Here is a 15767-nt window from a genome sequence, read left to right as displayed (position 1 = left end):
CCCAGAGACACCCCCAGCCTCACTCCACAGTGCCCACCTCACTCCCTGCACGGACCGGCCCAGCTGCTGCTTCTGGCCTCTTCTCCCACCTAGCCCACATCCGGGAATTAGCTCCCTGTCTGAGAGGCCCAAGCAGAAGCCACAGAGCCCGGGCTGCATCCAGTGACTTCGTGGGTCCTTCCTGACTCCAGGGCCCCAAGGGGCCCTGCTGCAAGAGTCCCTTCATCCTTCCTCCCCTTGGCACTCCCTGGGGAATGACAGTGGGTCACAGCGGGGTACCTGGTGCCGGGGCCATCCTGGCCAAGTTCTGGTCCTGCTCCAGCTCCGGCTCTCGTTTGAGGTTGGTCCAGTCCAGGCACTGGTTTGGGAATAGAGTGCTAAGGACAGGGCTGTTGCTTGGAGCCTGGTCTCTGGGCACTGTGGGGAGATAGGACCATCAGCATCAATAGCCACGGTTTCTGGGAAGCCCAGAGGGAGCAAGGAGGGCACGCCCTTCCTAGGAGGAGGAGGCCCAGAGAGACAGCCACGTGCCGCTGCTTCTGGCGGCTCACACTCCCGGGCTCTGCCCAGAGCAGGCGGCGGCAAGAAGAGGCCAGGAGGAGACCCCGGGGAAGACTTTGGACCAGTCTGTTTTTCTGAGCAACCCAACTCCAGCCCTAGACTGGGCCTCCAGTGAGGCCCCACATGCCAGTAACTAAGTACTGGCTCCAACCTGACACTCTCGTCTCCCTAACAGGGCAGAAGGGATGAGGGCATCACTCATTTGTCTACTCCTTTCATCTGCAACCCACAGTTACTGCACTCCTGTTTCCAGACTTGGAAGAAGAGGCTGCTGCAGGAGGGACGCTGCTGCACCCTCATCACGCAGAGCAGAGAGCCCCCCGTGGGTGCAGCAGGCGCCAGCCCGGGCTCTGACTCACCCGGGGTAAGGGCAGGAGGCCAGAGCGGTTCATCTTCCTGCACACGGGGCTGGTGGTAGGTGTGAGCCTTCTTGCTCTTCACCAGGAAGGAGCGTGGCATTTTCAGTGTGCACCCCACACCTGCAAGGGGGAGGGATGGGAGCGGTTAGGAAGGACAAGAGAACAATACCCCTCCATATCTCAGAACCTCCTCCTGAGATAAAACACCAGCTATACTGGGTTGAACAGTGGCCCCCAAAGTTCATGTCCACCCAGAACCTGTGAATGTGACCTTATTAGCAATAGGGTGTTTTTGCAGATGTAATCAAGTTATGATGAGGTCATTCCGGGTTAGGATGGGCCCTCAATCCAAGATGACTCGTGTCCTTATAAGAAGATGGAAATTTGGACCCAGAGACACAGACACCCAGGGAGAACGCCGTGTGCCGACAACAGAGCAGAGAGTGACACTTCTATCAGCCAGAGAATGCCAGGCAGTGCCGACAGCCGCCAGAACTCGGAGCTTCTATCAGCCAGAGAATGCCAGGCAGTGCCGACAGCCGCCAGAACTCAGAGAGGGGCATGAAACCCTCTCCCCTGGCGTCTGCAGAAAGAACCCACTTTGCGGACACCTCGATTTTGGATTTCTAGATCCCAGAACCATGAAAGAATAAATTTCTGTTGGTTTTAAGCCACCTGTTTGTGCTATTTTGTTACGGCAGCTACAAATCCTAACTTCCCTCACTGCTCCTTCACCAGGAAATGAATGCATCGCCCCCTAGAAAACGCTCAGACAAGCCTGCTCCCATTGGCATGACCTGGGCTGCAATGGAGCAGAAAAGGAAAGGCAGGGACTGGGGTCTCCCTCTGTGACACACAGTGGACCCCAATTCTAGAAAGCTACATTTGGGTACCAGTGAGATTCACCTTCAGAGGCCATAGAAACGGGTGGTCTGAGCTTAGGTTTTGGAATCAGTGGTTCGTGGGTTAGAATCTCAGTTCACTTGCTGTGCAATTTGGGACACACACTTAACCTCTCTGGGCCTATCCCCTTTGCTGTAAGTGGGGATGTCCAGGCTTGCAGTGCTGACAGGTGCATCACAGGTGTTCAGTGTCTATCACTGGGGGCTCTGGCAGAGAAGCTGCAGCAAACGAGGGGACATTGCCAATCCACGTGCTCCTGCAAGCCGCAAGCCACAGCCGCCAGAGCACGGCTGCGCCTTGTCCACAGCCCTGGCCCAGAGTCTGTTCCCTAGAGAGACAGGGGCTTTCTCTCTCTGAGGAGTGGGGTGTGGGGACTCAAGACCTGAGAGGACCCCCAACTCCACTGCACCTGGAGGCCTGAGGCTTCATGGACACAGGAGAAGAGGCGAACAGCCCCCAGCTTCCGTGGGCAGCCCAGCATCACTACCAACCCCACCAGTCAGGGAGTGGGAGAAGAAACCAAGGACCACATCAGTCAAGGGACCATCCCAGGCAGAGTCAGGGAGTGACAGGGCTGGACCAACTTGACCACCCCAGGACTCCTGGCTTCCCCTGCAGAGCCCTCTGGAGCTGAGAGCCCTGCCTGGCCCCCAGAATGGTTCACATCCCTGCACTCAGCCTGTGAGGTTCCCCCGGGCACTCTGGAGAGCATCTTCTGGTGGTCCTCTATCCTTTCTGCCCCCACGCTGCACCCAGGCCGACACCAGGCCCATGCCTGAGGCGTCAGAGGAGTCCCACCCCCCCACCCCTTGGGCCAGCCGCCATGCAAGGCTGCAGGGGTGATAGGGTCCGGAGAAGGCGGGAGAGGGATCACAGCTGCTTCAGAACAGCAGTGAGGGCCTGGGTGATAAGGCCTTGGCCCAGGAGCAGGGTGGGAGGTGGGAGATTAGAGAATGCAGCTTGGAAAAGGGCCAGGGACTCACCCCTTCCCCAAGGAGATGAACCACAGCCAGGCAGAAGAGGGACCCGACTATGCCCAGGCCTGCTTCCCCCTGGCCCAGAGCCTGGGGGCATCAAGAGTTTGGACTGGGGGCTCTGCACAGGGGGCCAAGCTCAGGCCCAGCCCTTGCCTGCTGTAAGGCTCATCACTGAGCCTCAGTGCTCATATCTGCTAAACGGGGATCCCAATCCAACCACATGGGATGGTGGGGAGCGAGAAAGGACCTTTATCCATCAGGAGCGAGTGTGAGAGGTGCTCAGCATGTGCTCCCCCGCATCCCAGCACCCAGCCCACTGCAGGTGCATTCAAAGGACGGGGTAAGCCCTGTGCCAAGGGCTGCAGCAGCCTCCCAGAAGCCAGGGCCGCGCTCAAGGCCCTGTACTCTCTGAGCTCTAAAATTAGGAGAAAGGACCTTGAAGGCCTCTGGGGTCCCTTCCCGCGGTCAGATTCTCGGCTCTCTGAACACAGGCTCGGGCCGGGGGCAGCCCACGGCCTTATCTCCCAGGGACACGTCTTCCTCCTCTTGCCTCCTCCCCCTCCCTCACCAGGGCTCCCCACACCCCCCTTCCTTCCCGCTTTTAACTCTTCTTCGCTTCAAGAAAGCCCATGGGGAGGCCAGACCCTAGGGGGAGAGGAGGGGACCCAGTGAGCAGGAGGAGGACTGGGGGTGTGGGGTTCCCCTTGCACTTTGTTTTGAGGGGGCCTGTGAGGGTCATGGTTTGCCTATCAAAATATCAAAAGATGATCCTTTTTTGCGCATAATATTTATGAGGAAATCAACTAGAACCAAAGGTACTCGCCAAGGCTTCTGTGATAGAAGAGGAGCTGGTCAAACCTTCTGGCAGGGGGCTGCTTAGCCTGCCTTGTTTATTACACCTTTAATTCTGATGCTTAATCCAGATGCTGAGTCCCGCTGCTGTCCCATTTTATAAAGAAGGAGCTGAAGCCTGGAGGGCTCAGGACCCTGGGGCAGAGTGAGCAGGGAAGGACTGGGGTCTGTCTGGCCCCAGGCCTCCATGCTCTTGACTTTCAGCCCAGCAGGTGGGCAGTTACTCGGTGCAGAATGGGTGCCAAGTGCTGGGCAGTGCCCGGCATGGGCTTCTCTCTGCAGAGGGAGTGGAGCCGACGTGCTAGGGATGAAAACAGCAGTTTGAAGCTCCCTCGTGTGCCCGTGTCAAGCAGTGTCTTCCCAGGTTGCAGGTGGGAAAACTGAGGTGCAGAGAGGAAAGTGACTCAGACCCAGGGCTCCTGGCCTGTTAGGATTTTACTCTCAAGCCACTGTGCCACCCAGCACTGTCAGAGGTCCTCACAGCACCCGGTGAACACCGCCTGCAGCACAGAGGGAAATGCAGGGTGCTGGGGCAAGAGGGGAGAAAAATCAGGCCGGGTGCAGTGGCTCACACCTGTAATCCCAACATTTTGGGAGGCCGAGGCGGACGGATCACAAGATCAGGAGTTCGAGACCAGCCTAGCCAACACAGTGAAACCTCGTCTCTACAAAAAATACAAAAATTAGCCGGGCATGGTGGCACTTGCCTACAGTTCCAGCTACTCAGGAGGCTGAGGCAGGAGAATCGCTTGAACCCGGGAGGCGGAGGTTGCAGTGAGCCGAGATCACACCACCACTGCACTTCAGCCTGGGTGACAGAGCCACACTCTGTCTCAAAAAAAAAAAAAAAAAAAAAGGAGGGAGAAAAATCAAACCCTCTGACCCTCAAGTCTTTTCCAGGCTCCTAAAAGACCCACATGGCTCCTGAAGAGTCTTGGTGGGGCCAGGCCAGGGACAGACTTCCCTTCAGGAAGCATTGGTATTCTCCTGGGCTCAGGGCCTAAGGAGAACCCAGGTCAACTGACTCTAACCCTGGGCCCCACAACAAGGACACTTTCTAGCGCTCATGAGCCCTGGCCAAGCACTTTTCACTTAGGCACAGGGCAAGATGGGGCTGGCTTCTGGGGTTCTCCAGCCTCAGGAAGGTGATTCTCATGCTTCTTCTAGTGATCTCCCCTGAGCCCCACACCCGCTTTCTTGCCTCCCCCCAGTGTTCTCTCCCCTGAGCTTGGCAAGTGACAGTGACACAGCCAACGCCACGGCCAAGCCCTCTGGCTCACAGAGGGGCCAAATGCACCCGGTGAACTTCCTTTTGGCCCCTGTTAGCAGAGTTGTTTTTTTTTTAAAGAAAAAACAGGAACCAATCACCTATACTGTAGTTAATTAACAACCACTTGGTTTTGATTGACATGAACTCCGTTCTGAGAAGGAGCTAAGAGCAGAGATTATGAAAGAAGCTCAGGAATTCTTCATAAAACAGAGGACTTGATGGTATCGGACCTCCGGAAAGAGGCTCACTGTTATCACTCCATAACCCCCGATCCTGATAGAGTCCCCCTGACCCTGAGTCAGAATCTCAGTCAGTGCTTCTTGAAGACAGGCGACCCTGCACCCTGGCAGGAGCCAGCACCCTAACTTCCAGTTGGACTTGGGTCAACAGGCCTGTGATGTCCCTGTAATGAGGCCCCTTTGTTGCCCAAGGAGTTGAGTCTGATTTGGGGTCCTGGAGCTTGTGACCGCATCAGCCACCAACCTGGGGCTTGGTTTTCCTATCTCTTAAAAGGGACGGTTGGGCTAAGAGATTTCTAAACTTCCCTTTTGCTCTAAAATCCCATGTAGAATTCGTTGACCTTCAGTGAGAGATTGAACCACCTTGACTAAAAGACTTGTCACTCGGGTTCCCCTTTTGGGAGGGTTGGGTAAGACTCAGCTGGTTCTCAGGGTCAGCTACAGAGAACCTTTTTGACTTCCTTTATGTTTAAAGACTCAAGGGAGGCCGGGCGTGGTGGCTCACGCCTGTAATCCCAGCACTTTGGGAGGCCAAGGCAGGCGGATCACCTGAAGTCAGGAGTTCAAGACCAGCCTGGCCAACATGGGGAAACCCCGTCTCTACTAAAAATACAAAACTTAGCTGGGTGTGGTGGCAGGCACCTGTAATCCCAGCTACTCGGGAGGCTGAGGCTGGAGAATCACTTGAACCCAGAAGGCGGAGGTTGCGGTGAGCCCAGATGGCGCCACTGCACTCCAGCCTGGGTGACACAGCGAGACTCTGTCAAAAAAAAAAAAGATTCAAGGGGAAAACAAGACTTGTCCGTGGAGGAGTCGGGGGAAAATGAGCCCAGGTCAGGCCCAGGGGCCCCAGCAGAAAGTAATCATCATCATCATCACCATCATTATTATTATTATTTTGAGACAGAGTCTCACTCTGTCACCTGGGCTGGAGTGCAGTGGTTTGATCTTGGCCCACTGTAACCTCCACCTCCCAGGCCCAAGCGATCCTCCCATCTTAGCTTCTCGAGTAGCTGGGACTACAGGCATGCACCACCACAGTTGGCTAATTTTTGTATTTTTTGTAGAGACGGGGTTTTGCCATGTTGCCCAGGCCGGTCTAAATCATCATTTTTATTTGAAATTTAGAAGGAGTTCTCAAATGTCTCCTCCAAAGCTCAGAGAATGCAATGTCAAAAGTGAGTGAATCTACTTCTGGGTATAGACCCAAAATCATTGGAAGGGGAGACTCAAAGAGATATCTGCATACTCATGTTTATAGCAGCACTATTCACAATAGGCAAAAAGTGGAAGCAACCCAGGTTTCATGGCAGATGAATGTCCAAACAACATGTGGTCTATGGCCAGACTTAGTGGCTCACACCTGTAATCCCAGCACTGTGGGAGGCCGAGGTGGGCAGATCACCTGAGGTCAGGAGTTCCAAGACAAGCCTGGCCAAAATGGCGAAACCCCACCTCTACTAGAAATACAAAAATCAGCCAGGCATGGTGGTGGGTGCCTGTAATCCCAGCTACCCAGGAGGCTGAGGCAGGAGAATCGCTTGAACCCGGGAGGCAGAGGTTGCAGTGAGCCAAGATCGCACCATGGCACTCCAGCTTTGTGACAGAGACTCTGTCTCAAACAAACAAACAAACAAACAAAATGTGGTCTAGACATATGATTGAACATTATTCGGCCTTAAAAAGGAAGGAAATGCTGGCGCATGCTACAACATGGATGAACCTGAAGGATTTATGCTAAGTGAAATAAGCCAATCACAAAAGGACAAATACTGTGTGATTCCTTATATGAGTCCCTAAAATAGGCAATTTCATAGAGACAGAAATAGATAGAGGTTGCCAGAGGTGAGGGGAAGGGAATGGAAGTTACTGTGTAATAGGTATGAAGTTTCAGCTTTATGAGATGAAACAGTTCTGTGGATGGATGGTGGTGATGGTTGCACAGCCATGTGGGTGTACTTAATACCATTGAATGGTACGCTTGAAAATGGCTAAAACGGGAAATTTTATGTTATATGTATTTTATCAAAATAAAAAGACAAGTGAGTGAATGAAACTCTTTCTGCATATCTCTATATTATAGACTAAAGCAGCTCCCATTGGCTTGAATTCCTGGCAAGGAACACACGAAAAGCCTCCCTCTAGACTAAGAGGGGGTGGTGTTTGCTGATGTTTCAACCAAGGGTCTGGATATTGTGGCACAGACAGTGAAGAATCCCATTTGATCAGGCTGTTTTCCCTGGGTGATCTGGAGCCATCTGGTCCCAGAGCCTTTGAAAATCCTTGTACTGTCCAATAAGATTCCCACCCACCCTACCCTGCCCCGCTGAAAGCTTCGGGGCAATGGTCTGCGCTGGTTTTGAGTGATTCCATTAATCAAACCGAAACCAGGTATAGCTCTCCAATGTTCCCCAAGAACTCTCTTCAGGAAGACCAAACTCTGACAGAAAGAGCAAGGGGAATTACGCATTTTCTTGTCCAAAGAATTCCTTCTGCAATACTTCCGAGGACAAGAAACTTGACACTTTGCTAGACTTGGAAGAAATATTCTGCCTGTTGCCTACTAAGAAACATGCAGGCGCGTCCAGGCGGTCAGGTGCAGCTCAGCTGGCTTCTAATATCTACCAGACTCATGCCCACAGATTGTAATCGAATTTACTCCCTAAGAACTCGTGAAAGCTCTGGACTTTCTCCCCGGAAAAATGTACACGGGCACATACCCACGGCGATTCTGCAGACCTCCTCTTCACAAGTCCTGTTTTAGAGTGAGCATGTCTCCTCAGATGCCTCAACACTTAAACTTGGTTTTTTTTCTCCAAAAATAGGTGGAAAGGGCTAACAACAGCCACAGGGAAAGGCGAGCTGAAACAGTACCTCTCCATGGTCGGTCCTATTGTTCCTGGAGCCTGGGCAGTGTGTGGGAGAGGGCAGCCCTGTCATCTCCCCTTAGTAGGCTCTGGAGGGGAGAGCGCCTGACTCTCAAAGTGTCCTGGGAATTTGGCTGGGCGCAGTGGCTAATGCCTGTAATCCCAACACTTTGGGAGGCTGAGGCAGGTGGATCGTTTGAGGTCAAGAGTTCGAGACCAGCCTGGCCAACATGGTGAAACCCGTCTCTACTAAAAATACAAAAATTAGCCAGGCGTGGTAACACGCGCCTGTAATCCCAGCTACTTGGGAGGCTGAGGCAGGAGAATCGCTTGAATTCGGGAGGCAGAGGTTTCAGTGCAATCGCACCACTGCGCTCCAGAGTCTCACTCTGTCTCAAAAAAAAAAAAAAAAAAAAAAAAAAAAGTGTCCCAGGAACTTTAGTCAAGTCCCTAAAGTCTGGGACTGTCTCCGAGGGGGAACACAACTCAGGCACTTGGAAGTGTGTCTCCCTGAGCACTGCCCAGGTCCCCAGGACAGCTGGGTTGTGGGTATGACTTTGTGCCCGAAGGTGACGTCTGTCAGCCTAAAATCAAATTTTGAAAAGTGTTTCTGCGCAGCCGGCAAAGGCGCAATTCCTAGCACAGTGGCTCAGACGAGGCTACGTCCTCACCCTGTTTCTCCCTTGGCTCCTTGCCTTCCAGAGCTTTTCCAGCCCACCTCACCTTTCCTAGGACCGCAGGAGGAGCCAGGGAGCCTGCTGTGAAGCCACCTGCGGCGCACAGGCACATTTCAAAACAAAAGCGTAGAAACGCATCCTCCAGCACTCACCTGTCCGGAGCTGTCCCTCGCCTGGGTTCTGCCGGAGCTTCCCGAGGTGGGAACTGCAAAGCCTCTCTCGGGACTGGCCTCCACTCTGTCAACTGTGTGACTCTTTGCACAAATAGATACTTCTCCTTTTTGCTCTGTCTCTCTGTGTGTTTTTCCTCTTCTGTTCCCCTCCCTGATTTTCAATCTGATTATTTGTGTCAAAATCTGGCGGTGAACAAGCAGCCAATGAAGAGAGCGCGGGAGCTCAGCCGTATTTGCTTATCAAAACTTTCCAGGACACAAGACTTCGAATTCTCATTTCTAACCCTCGACACTTGGAGCGGCACGCTTTCTCTCTGCAGAGAAATTCAGAATTTCGCTGGAAATTTTGAATAACATCTGCACAAAAAGAAAGTGATGGCTAAATTATTAAATTTTAAAAATTAAAGTTAGAAAAAGCTCTAACTTATAAAACTCGATTTTGCATAGGGAAGTCATTGCTCTTTGGTTTTTTTCTTCTTTCTTTTCTCTTGCCTTTTTTCTTCCTTCCCTCCTTCCCTCCTTTTTCCTTCCTTCTCTTCCTCCTTTCTTTCTTCCTCCCTCCCTGCCTCCTTCCTTCCCTTCCTTATTTTCCTTCTTCCTCCCTCCTTCTTTCCTTCCCTCCCTCCCTCCTTCTCCTCCTCTCCTCTCTCTCTCTTCCCTCCTTTCCTCCCTCCTTTTTTCCCTGCCTCCCTCCTCGCTGCCTCCTCCCCTCCCTCCCTCCCCAAGTTCAGCACCCTGAGGCTTGTGAGAGCCAGGCTGGTGCAATGCCCCTAGTACCCGAGCCGGCCACATGCATAGAGGCCCCTCTTGTCCTTGCAGAGGTCATATCTCAGAAGAGACATCAAATTTGCATTTCCCCCAGATATGACCTTTGAGCGGGTAGAGGCACCCTGGAGGTGTGGCAGTGAGTTCGGAGGCCAGGAGACGCTCGGCCTGCTGAAGCTGCCATACAGATTGAAGGCCAGGTGCCAGAGCCCGTGTGTGCTGCCCTCTGGTGGCAGACAAAGTGATGGGGAGGCCAGTGGGGGCCTCTGGGGTGTCCCATTGATGCTGGGGGGAGTGAGGGCGGTAAAGCTTGGCTGAGCTGGCTGGGGCATTTCTTCCCATTTGGCAGGGCGTCCCATCCCCTGGCTCCCCACCTTCTCCCTCCTCCTCTGGCCCCCGCCTCCTCCCGCTTGCAGGATGACTGATTTATTTCAGGAGGTTTTGCATAAGATGAGAACGCCACAAACAGAGCACTGTTAGGCTGCTTTGTCTGCTCTTCCAGCCCGGGTGCTGGAGATATTATGTTTCCCTCATAAAGAAAACAAGTCTGGTGACAGGAAGCCCCAATTTAAACTGCAAGTCCAAGGTTCAAAATGAAGAAAAAGGGGTGTTTCAGGCGAGGTCTTTCTGCTGGGCCAGCCCTGGAGCACCAGCCAGGAGGACACAACCCTGTGGTCACCAGGCCTCAGTAATGCTGGGGTGTCAGTCCCAGCCCCAGGCTACAGACAGCAGACCACTGCTCCCAGCTCTGTGGTCTCTCTTGGTGGAAAGAAACATCTTTTTAAAAAATTATTATTGGCTGGGCACAGTGGTTCACGCCTGTAATCCCAGCACTTTGAGAGGCCGAGGCAGGCGAGGATCACTTGAGATCGGGAGTTCAAGACCAGCCTGACCAACATGGAGAAACCCCATCTCTACAAAAAATACAAAATTAGCTGGGTGTGGTGGCACATGCCTGTAATCTCAGCCACTTAGGAGGCTGAGGCAGGATAATTGCTTGAACCCAGAAGGCAGAGGTTGCGGTGAGTCCAGATCGCACCATTGCACTTCAGCCTGGGCAACAAGAGCAAAATTCTGTCTCAAGAAAATTATTATTATTATTATTATTTTCTTAGAGACAGGAGTTGGCTTTGTAGCCCAGACTGGAGTGCAGTGTTGCAATCATAGCTCACTGCAGCCTCGACCTCCCTGGCTCAAGAGATCCTCCTGCTTCAGCCTCTTGAGTGGCTGGGACTACAGGCGCACCACCATGCCTGGTTAATTTTTTTATTTTTTTTAGAGATGGGGTCTTGCTATGCTGTCCAGTCTGGTCTAAATCATTATTTTTATTTGAAATTTAGAAGTTCTCAAATGTCTCCTCTAAAATTCAGAGAATGCAATGTCAAAAGTGAGTGAATCTACTTCTGGGTATAGACTCAAAATCACTGGAAGCAGAATCGAAGAGATATTTGCACACTTACATTTATAGTGGTACTATTCACAATAGGCTGGTCTTGAACTCCTGGCCTCAAGCGATCCTCCTGCCTCAGCCTCCCAAAGTGCTGGGATTACAGGCACGAGCTGCTGTGCCCAGCCAGGGACACATCTTGAGTATTCTGTGGGTGTTGTACATTGCCAACAATCAGCTAGAACTGCTTGTCATTATGCAGAAAACTTAAAATATTCTCTCCAAGTCAACAAGTCCCCAGTTTCCTCATGTTCTCACTTCCCTATACACACATACACACATTTTGCTACTGTAAACCAGCGTGTCATTTTCCGTGAAACATGATTTTATGGAAGTGCTTCCTAAGTTCGTTTGCAGCCTTTATTGACATCTTTAATGGTTTCACCATTAAATCTTTAATGGTTTCATGGTTTATCTCACCAAACGCTTCCTCCACTTGTTTAGGGTGTTTTCTAATAGGAAGCGGCTGTATCAGGCACATGCAGTTCAACTGCTGTTCTAAGATTGTAATCCCACTTTAGGGTCCCTACCTTCCCCCGTGAGTAACTGACACAGGGACAGCCTTCCCAGACCCAGACCAGGGACCCAGCCTGCAGATGAAGCCACCCAGGTTCCCCTTGATGGGAGAGCAGTGGCCAGGCAGCCAGTCCCCTGGCATAGCAGTTGAAGCCAGGAGTCCCCAGCCAGCCTCACCCAGGCCCTTACAGCCCTGGACTTCCCATGCTCTGTGTCCCCTCCAGGGCTGCCTGTAAAGCTACCAGCACTTCCCTTAGTGAGCAGCCCTGGAGTCAACACCTTCATTTAGTCTCTCCCAAGAGCTAAATCGCTTCCGCATTCCCATGCCCATTCATCAGTTTATTCATTCATTTAACAGTTACCATTAGGTACCTTTCGTGTATCAGCTCTTTCCTTCCCTCCCTTATGTAACACATGTGTATCGAGTGCCCACAACAAGGCACCACATGCTGGGGTTTCAAAAAACAGCCGGACTTTTCATATTCCTTCCTGGTCTAGAGGGTAGGAAAGAGCAACCTGAAATTTACAATTTGGGGTGACAAGTGCTGTGATATAAACATAGTATACAAAAGAAGCCTGGGGCATTTGGAAATGGACCCAGGCTTGGGGGGGTTGGTGAAGGAAGTGATATCTAAGTTGATGCCTAGGCTAAGTTAGTTGGGAGAAGGAAGGTAGGGAAAAGTGTCTCAAAGAAGAACAGCATTGTGCTAAGAGCTGGAGGTCCCCTGAAGGGAGCTGACAGCAGCCAAGTTCATTAGGGAAGAAACGCAGACTGAAGGAAGGGGAGGGAAGGTTAGGACTTTTGAGAGCTGAGCCTAGAGAAAGAAAAAGAACAAAGATCAGGAAGATTCTTCCCTGGTTTAAAAACCTTCAATAATTTCCCTTTACCTTTAGGACAAAAATCTCAGCTTCAGAGATCAATACTCCGTGTTTTTCACAATGTCGGCACCCTTTCAAATAACAGCACTTTTCCAGATGCGAGTTGCAGGAAGTTTCAAAAAGATGGGGTCTTGCTCTGTAGCCCAGGCTGGTCTTGAACTCCTGGTCTCAAGCAATCCTCCCAAGCTCCTGAGTAGCTGGGATTACAGGTGCATGCCACCGTGCCCAGTACAGAAACACAATTTAAACTCATTTAATAATAACAATGAAACAATTAATTCATGTCACAGAAAATTTTCAGCTTCTGACATGGTTGGATCCAGATGCTCAAATGATACTGTCTGGAATCTCACTCATTCAGGTCATTGGCACTTCTCGTGCCCTCTGCCTGGATGGCCTAACTCTCTGATTTCCCCAAGCCTGTCTCCTTCTTGTCATCCAGGTCTTAGCGGAAATGTTACTTCTGCAGAAAGACCTCCTTGACCTTCAACTAAAGTAGGACCTCCCCACCCCAGTCACTTTCTATTCCTTCACCCACCCCTTTCTTCTTAGCATTCACACTTATCTGAAAATATCTTGCTTGTCTTCCCTTTTTTTTTTTTTTTTTTTTTTGAGACGGATTCTGGCTCTGTCGCCTAGGCTGGAGGGCAGTGGCACAATCTCGGCTCACTGCAACCTCCTTCTCCCAGGTTCAAGCGATTCTCCTGCCTCAGCCTCCCGAGTAGCTGGGATTACAGGTGCCCGCCACCAAGCCTGGCTAATTTTTTTGTGTTTTTAGTAGAGATAGAGTTTCACCATGTTGGCCAGGCTAGTCTCAAACTCCTAACCTCAAGTGATCCTTGCCTGCCTCGGCCTCCCAAAGTGCTGGGATTACAGGTGTGAGCCACCGCGCCTGGCCATCTTCCTATCTTTTAATTCATTTATTTATTGCTCTAACTTCCCACAAGGAATGTCCATGCTACAAGAGCAGGAACTGTTTTTCCAGGCACACAGCTCAGGGCTTAGACTCTCCAGGGCTTAGAACAGTGTTTGGGAGACACTAATGATATCTTCACAGAGTGAATAAATGAATGAATGAATGACTCTCTCTCCATCATCTCGGCTTTGCTTCCCTCTGTGTTGGCCTCATCCTCACGCCATGATCTCTACCCACTTTATGCGGCTCTTATCTCTGGGCCTAGGAACCCCAGTGGAAAGAGAGATTCCTCCTCAATTGTTTCAGAAAGATTGCTAGGGTTGACTCTGATTGGCCCAGCCTGGTCACAAGCACATCCAGCACCAATCATTGTGCCCAGGGGGAGGGATATGGGCCTCTCATTGGCCGGGGCTGGCAGACTTTCCCGCCAAAACCATGAGGTTGCTTAAGTGTAGAGGAAGAGGTGGGTTTGAGCAGGAACAACAGCTGTCATTAAACAGAATAAGGCCAGAGAGGCGTTTGGAGCCATGGCTTCTATCTTCTACCTTCTAACTGTCCTCTCATTATCACCTGGATATGCTGTGTCCTTTCTTGCCTCACCTGTTCCCCTTGTCTGGAATGGTTCTTTCTCTTCAGCCCCCTCCTTCACAGCTCAATCCAGCTCTCAACGCCTCCAGGAAGCCCTCCCAGACGCCCCACAATCCAGGGAGTCATCTGTTGTCTACAGATTTGGCCCACCCGTGACGACCCTTGGATTCCTGTCTTGCTCGGTTACTCATGGGGCCTCACTTGCTTTTCGGTGAGACTGGGGGCTCCTTAAGGGCAGGAACGTCATGGGGTCCTCTGTCTGTGGACAACGGGCGTGGGCCGGGCCTCAGCACACACGCTGGCCTGCAGGGACCATATCAGGGCTGAATACATGGGAACCACCACTGCTGAGGCCGGGCCACGGGCCCTCTATAAGGACAGCTCCGGCAGGTGCAGGTGGGCTGGGGAAGCTCTGTGCGGGGGTCGTGGGATATTGGGGGTGAATGTTCTGTGCCGGGTGGCACCGGGGCTACGACACTCCCAGGCATCGGCTGTGTGAACTTGGGCAGCTTCTGGCCTTGGCCCAGGACAGCCACAGAATGTGACGGTCATGAGCTGAACCCAACAGTCCTGGGAATGGGACAATGGACCCGGTGGTCCCTGCCCTCCAGGGGCTCCCAGAGAGCCGGCTGGGCATTGGGGCTCGTCTGCTCTATGTACATCTTGGTGCCAGAAAAGTGCCTGCTGGCTCTGTCCCGCTGCGAGTGCGCTGAAGGGTGGACAGCAGTGGGCAGCAGGCCAAGTAGGAAACGTCCACCTGGTCATCGGCGGCTACGGACCTCTTTCCAGGTCCAGGCTCCTTACCGGGGGCTGCAGGCAGTCGACGTGCGGGAGCCCGGCTTGCAAACCCTGCCTGTCGTCGGGGCTGGCACTGCCCTCCGACTCCCCACCCTACGACCCAGGCGCTCCGCTCCACACGGGAAGCAATTCACCATCCCACCACACGGTGGCACTCCTGCCTACCTTTCCTCGAACAAAAACCAGCCTGAAAAAAGTGAAAATAATTATCTGTGTACAGGTACATGCTGTTTGAATTACAAGAGTAATATATGATCAGAGTTGAAATAAGAAAAAGAAGAATATGCACCTGTGTCCCATCCCCATTAACTATTTTTTCACTGAGACAGAGTCTCACTCTGTCGCCCAGGCTGGAGTGCAGTGGCTCCATCATGGCTCACTGCAGCCACGACCTCCTGGGCTCAAGTGATCCTCCTGCCTCAGCCTTCCGAGTAGCTAGGACCATAAGCACACACCACCACACCCAGCTAATTTTTGTTTGTTTGTTTTTGAAACGGAGTCTAGCTCTGTTGCCCAGGCTGGAGTGCAGTGGTGCAATCTCGGCTCACTGCAACATCCACCTCCCAGGTTCAAGTGATTCTCCTGCCTCAGCCTCCCGAGTAGCTGGGATTACAGGCGCCCGCCACCACGCCCAGCTAATTTCTGTATTTTTAGTAGAGACGGGGTTTCACTATGTTGGTCAGGCTGGTCTTGAATTCCTTACATCAAGTGATCTGCCTGCCTTGGCTTCCAAAAGTGCTGGGATTACAGGCATGAGCCACTACTCCTGGCCACCTGGCTAATTATTTTTTAAAAATTTTGTAGAGACAGGGTCTTGCTCTGTTGTCCAGGTTGGTCTCAAACTCCTAAATCCATGAGATCTGCCCACCTCGGCCTCCCAAAGTGCTGGGATTACAGGCGTGAGCCACCACACCCAACCCAATTTTTTTTTTTTTTTTTAGACAGAGTCTTGCTTTGTCACCCAGACTGGAGTACAGTGG

The 15767-nt window shown here is 52.1% G+C and overlaps 1 protein-coding gene across 8 annotated transcripts in view; it reads right to left on the bottom strand.

Annotated features, from left to right (window-relative positions):
* GFI1B (growth factor independent 1B transcriptional repressor) overlaps positions 1 to 15767 on the bottom strand; it is a 47904-nt gene that overhangs the window by 5736 nt on the left and 26401 nt on the right. For 5 of the 8 annotated variants that reach the window (XR_007061360.1, NM_001371908.1, NM_001377304.1 and 2 more), the window contains exons 1-3: positions 8858 to 9005; positions 921 to 1040; positions 280 to 417 (exon numbers count right to left, since the gene is read on the bottom strand). Coding sequence is in view for 7 of the 8 variants with exons in the window: in NM_001371908.1 (NP_001358837.1) it covers positions 280 to 417; positions 921 to 1020 (238 nt within the window). In the remaining variant the exon portion in view is untranslated. Of the gene's footprint in view, positions 1 to 279; positions 418 to 920; positions 1041 to 7881; positions 8424 to 8857; positions 9193 to 11103; positions 11239 to 12494; positions 12683 to 14952; positions 14975 to 15767 lie in introns of those variants that run through there. The other 3 variants (XM_006717297.4, NM_001377305.1, NM_004188.8) reach the window with 2 other exon arrangements.

This window comes from Homo sapiens, chromosome 9 (genome assembly GCF_000001405.40).
Source record: "Homo sapiens chromosome 9, GRCh38.p14 Primary Assembly".
Taxonomy (NCBI): Eukaryota; Metazoa; Chordata; class Mammalia; order Primates; family Hominidae; genus Homo; species Homo sapiens.
Note: the sequence above shows the minus strand (reverse complement) of the source record. Positions and strands in the feature narration are given on the sequence as shown.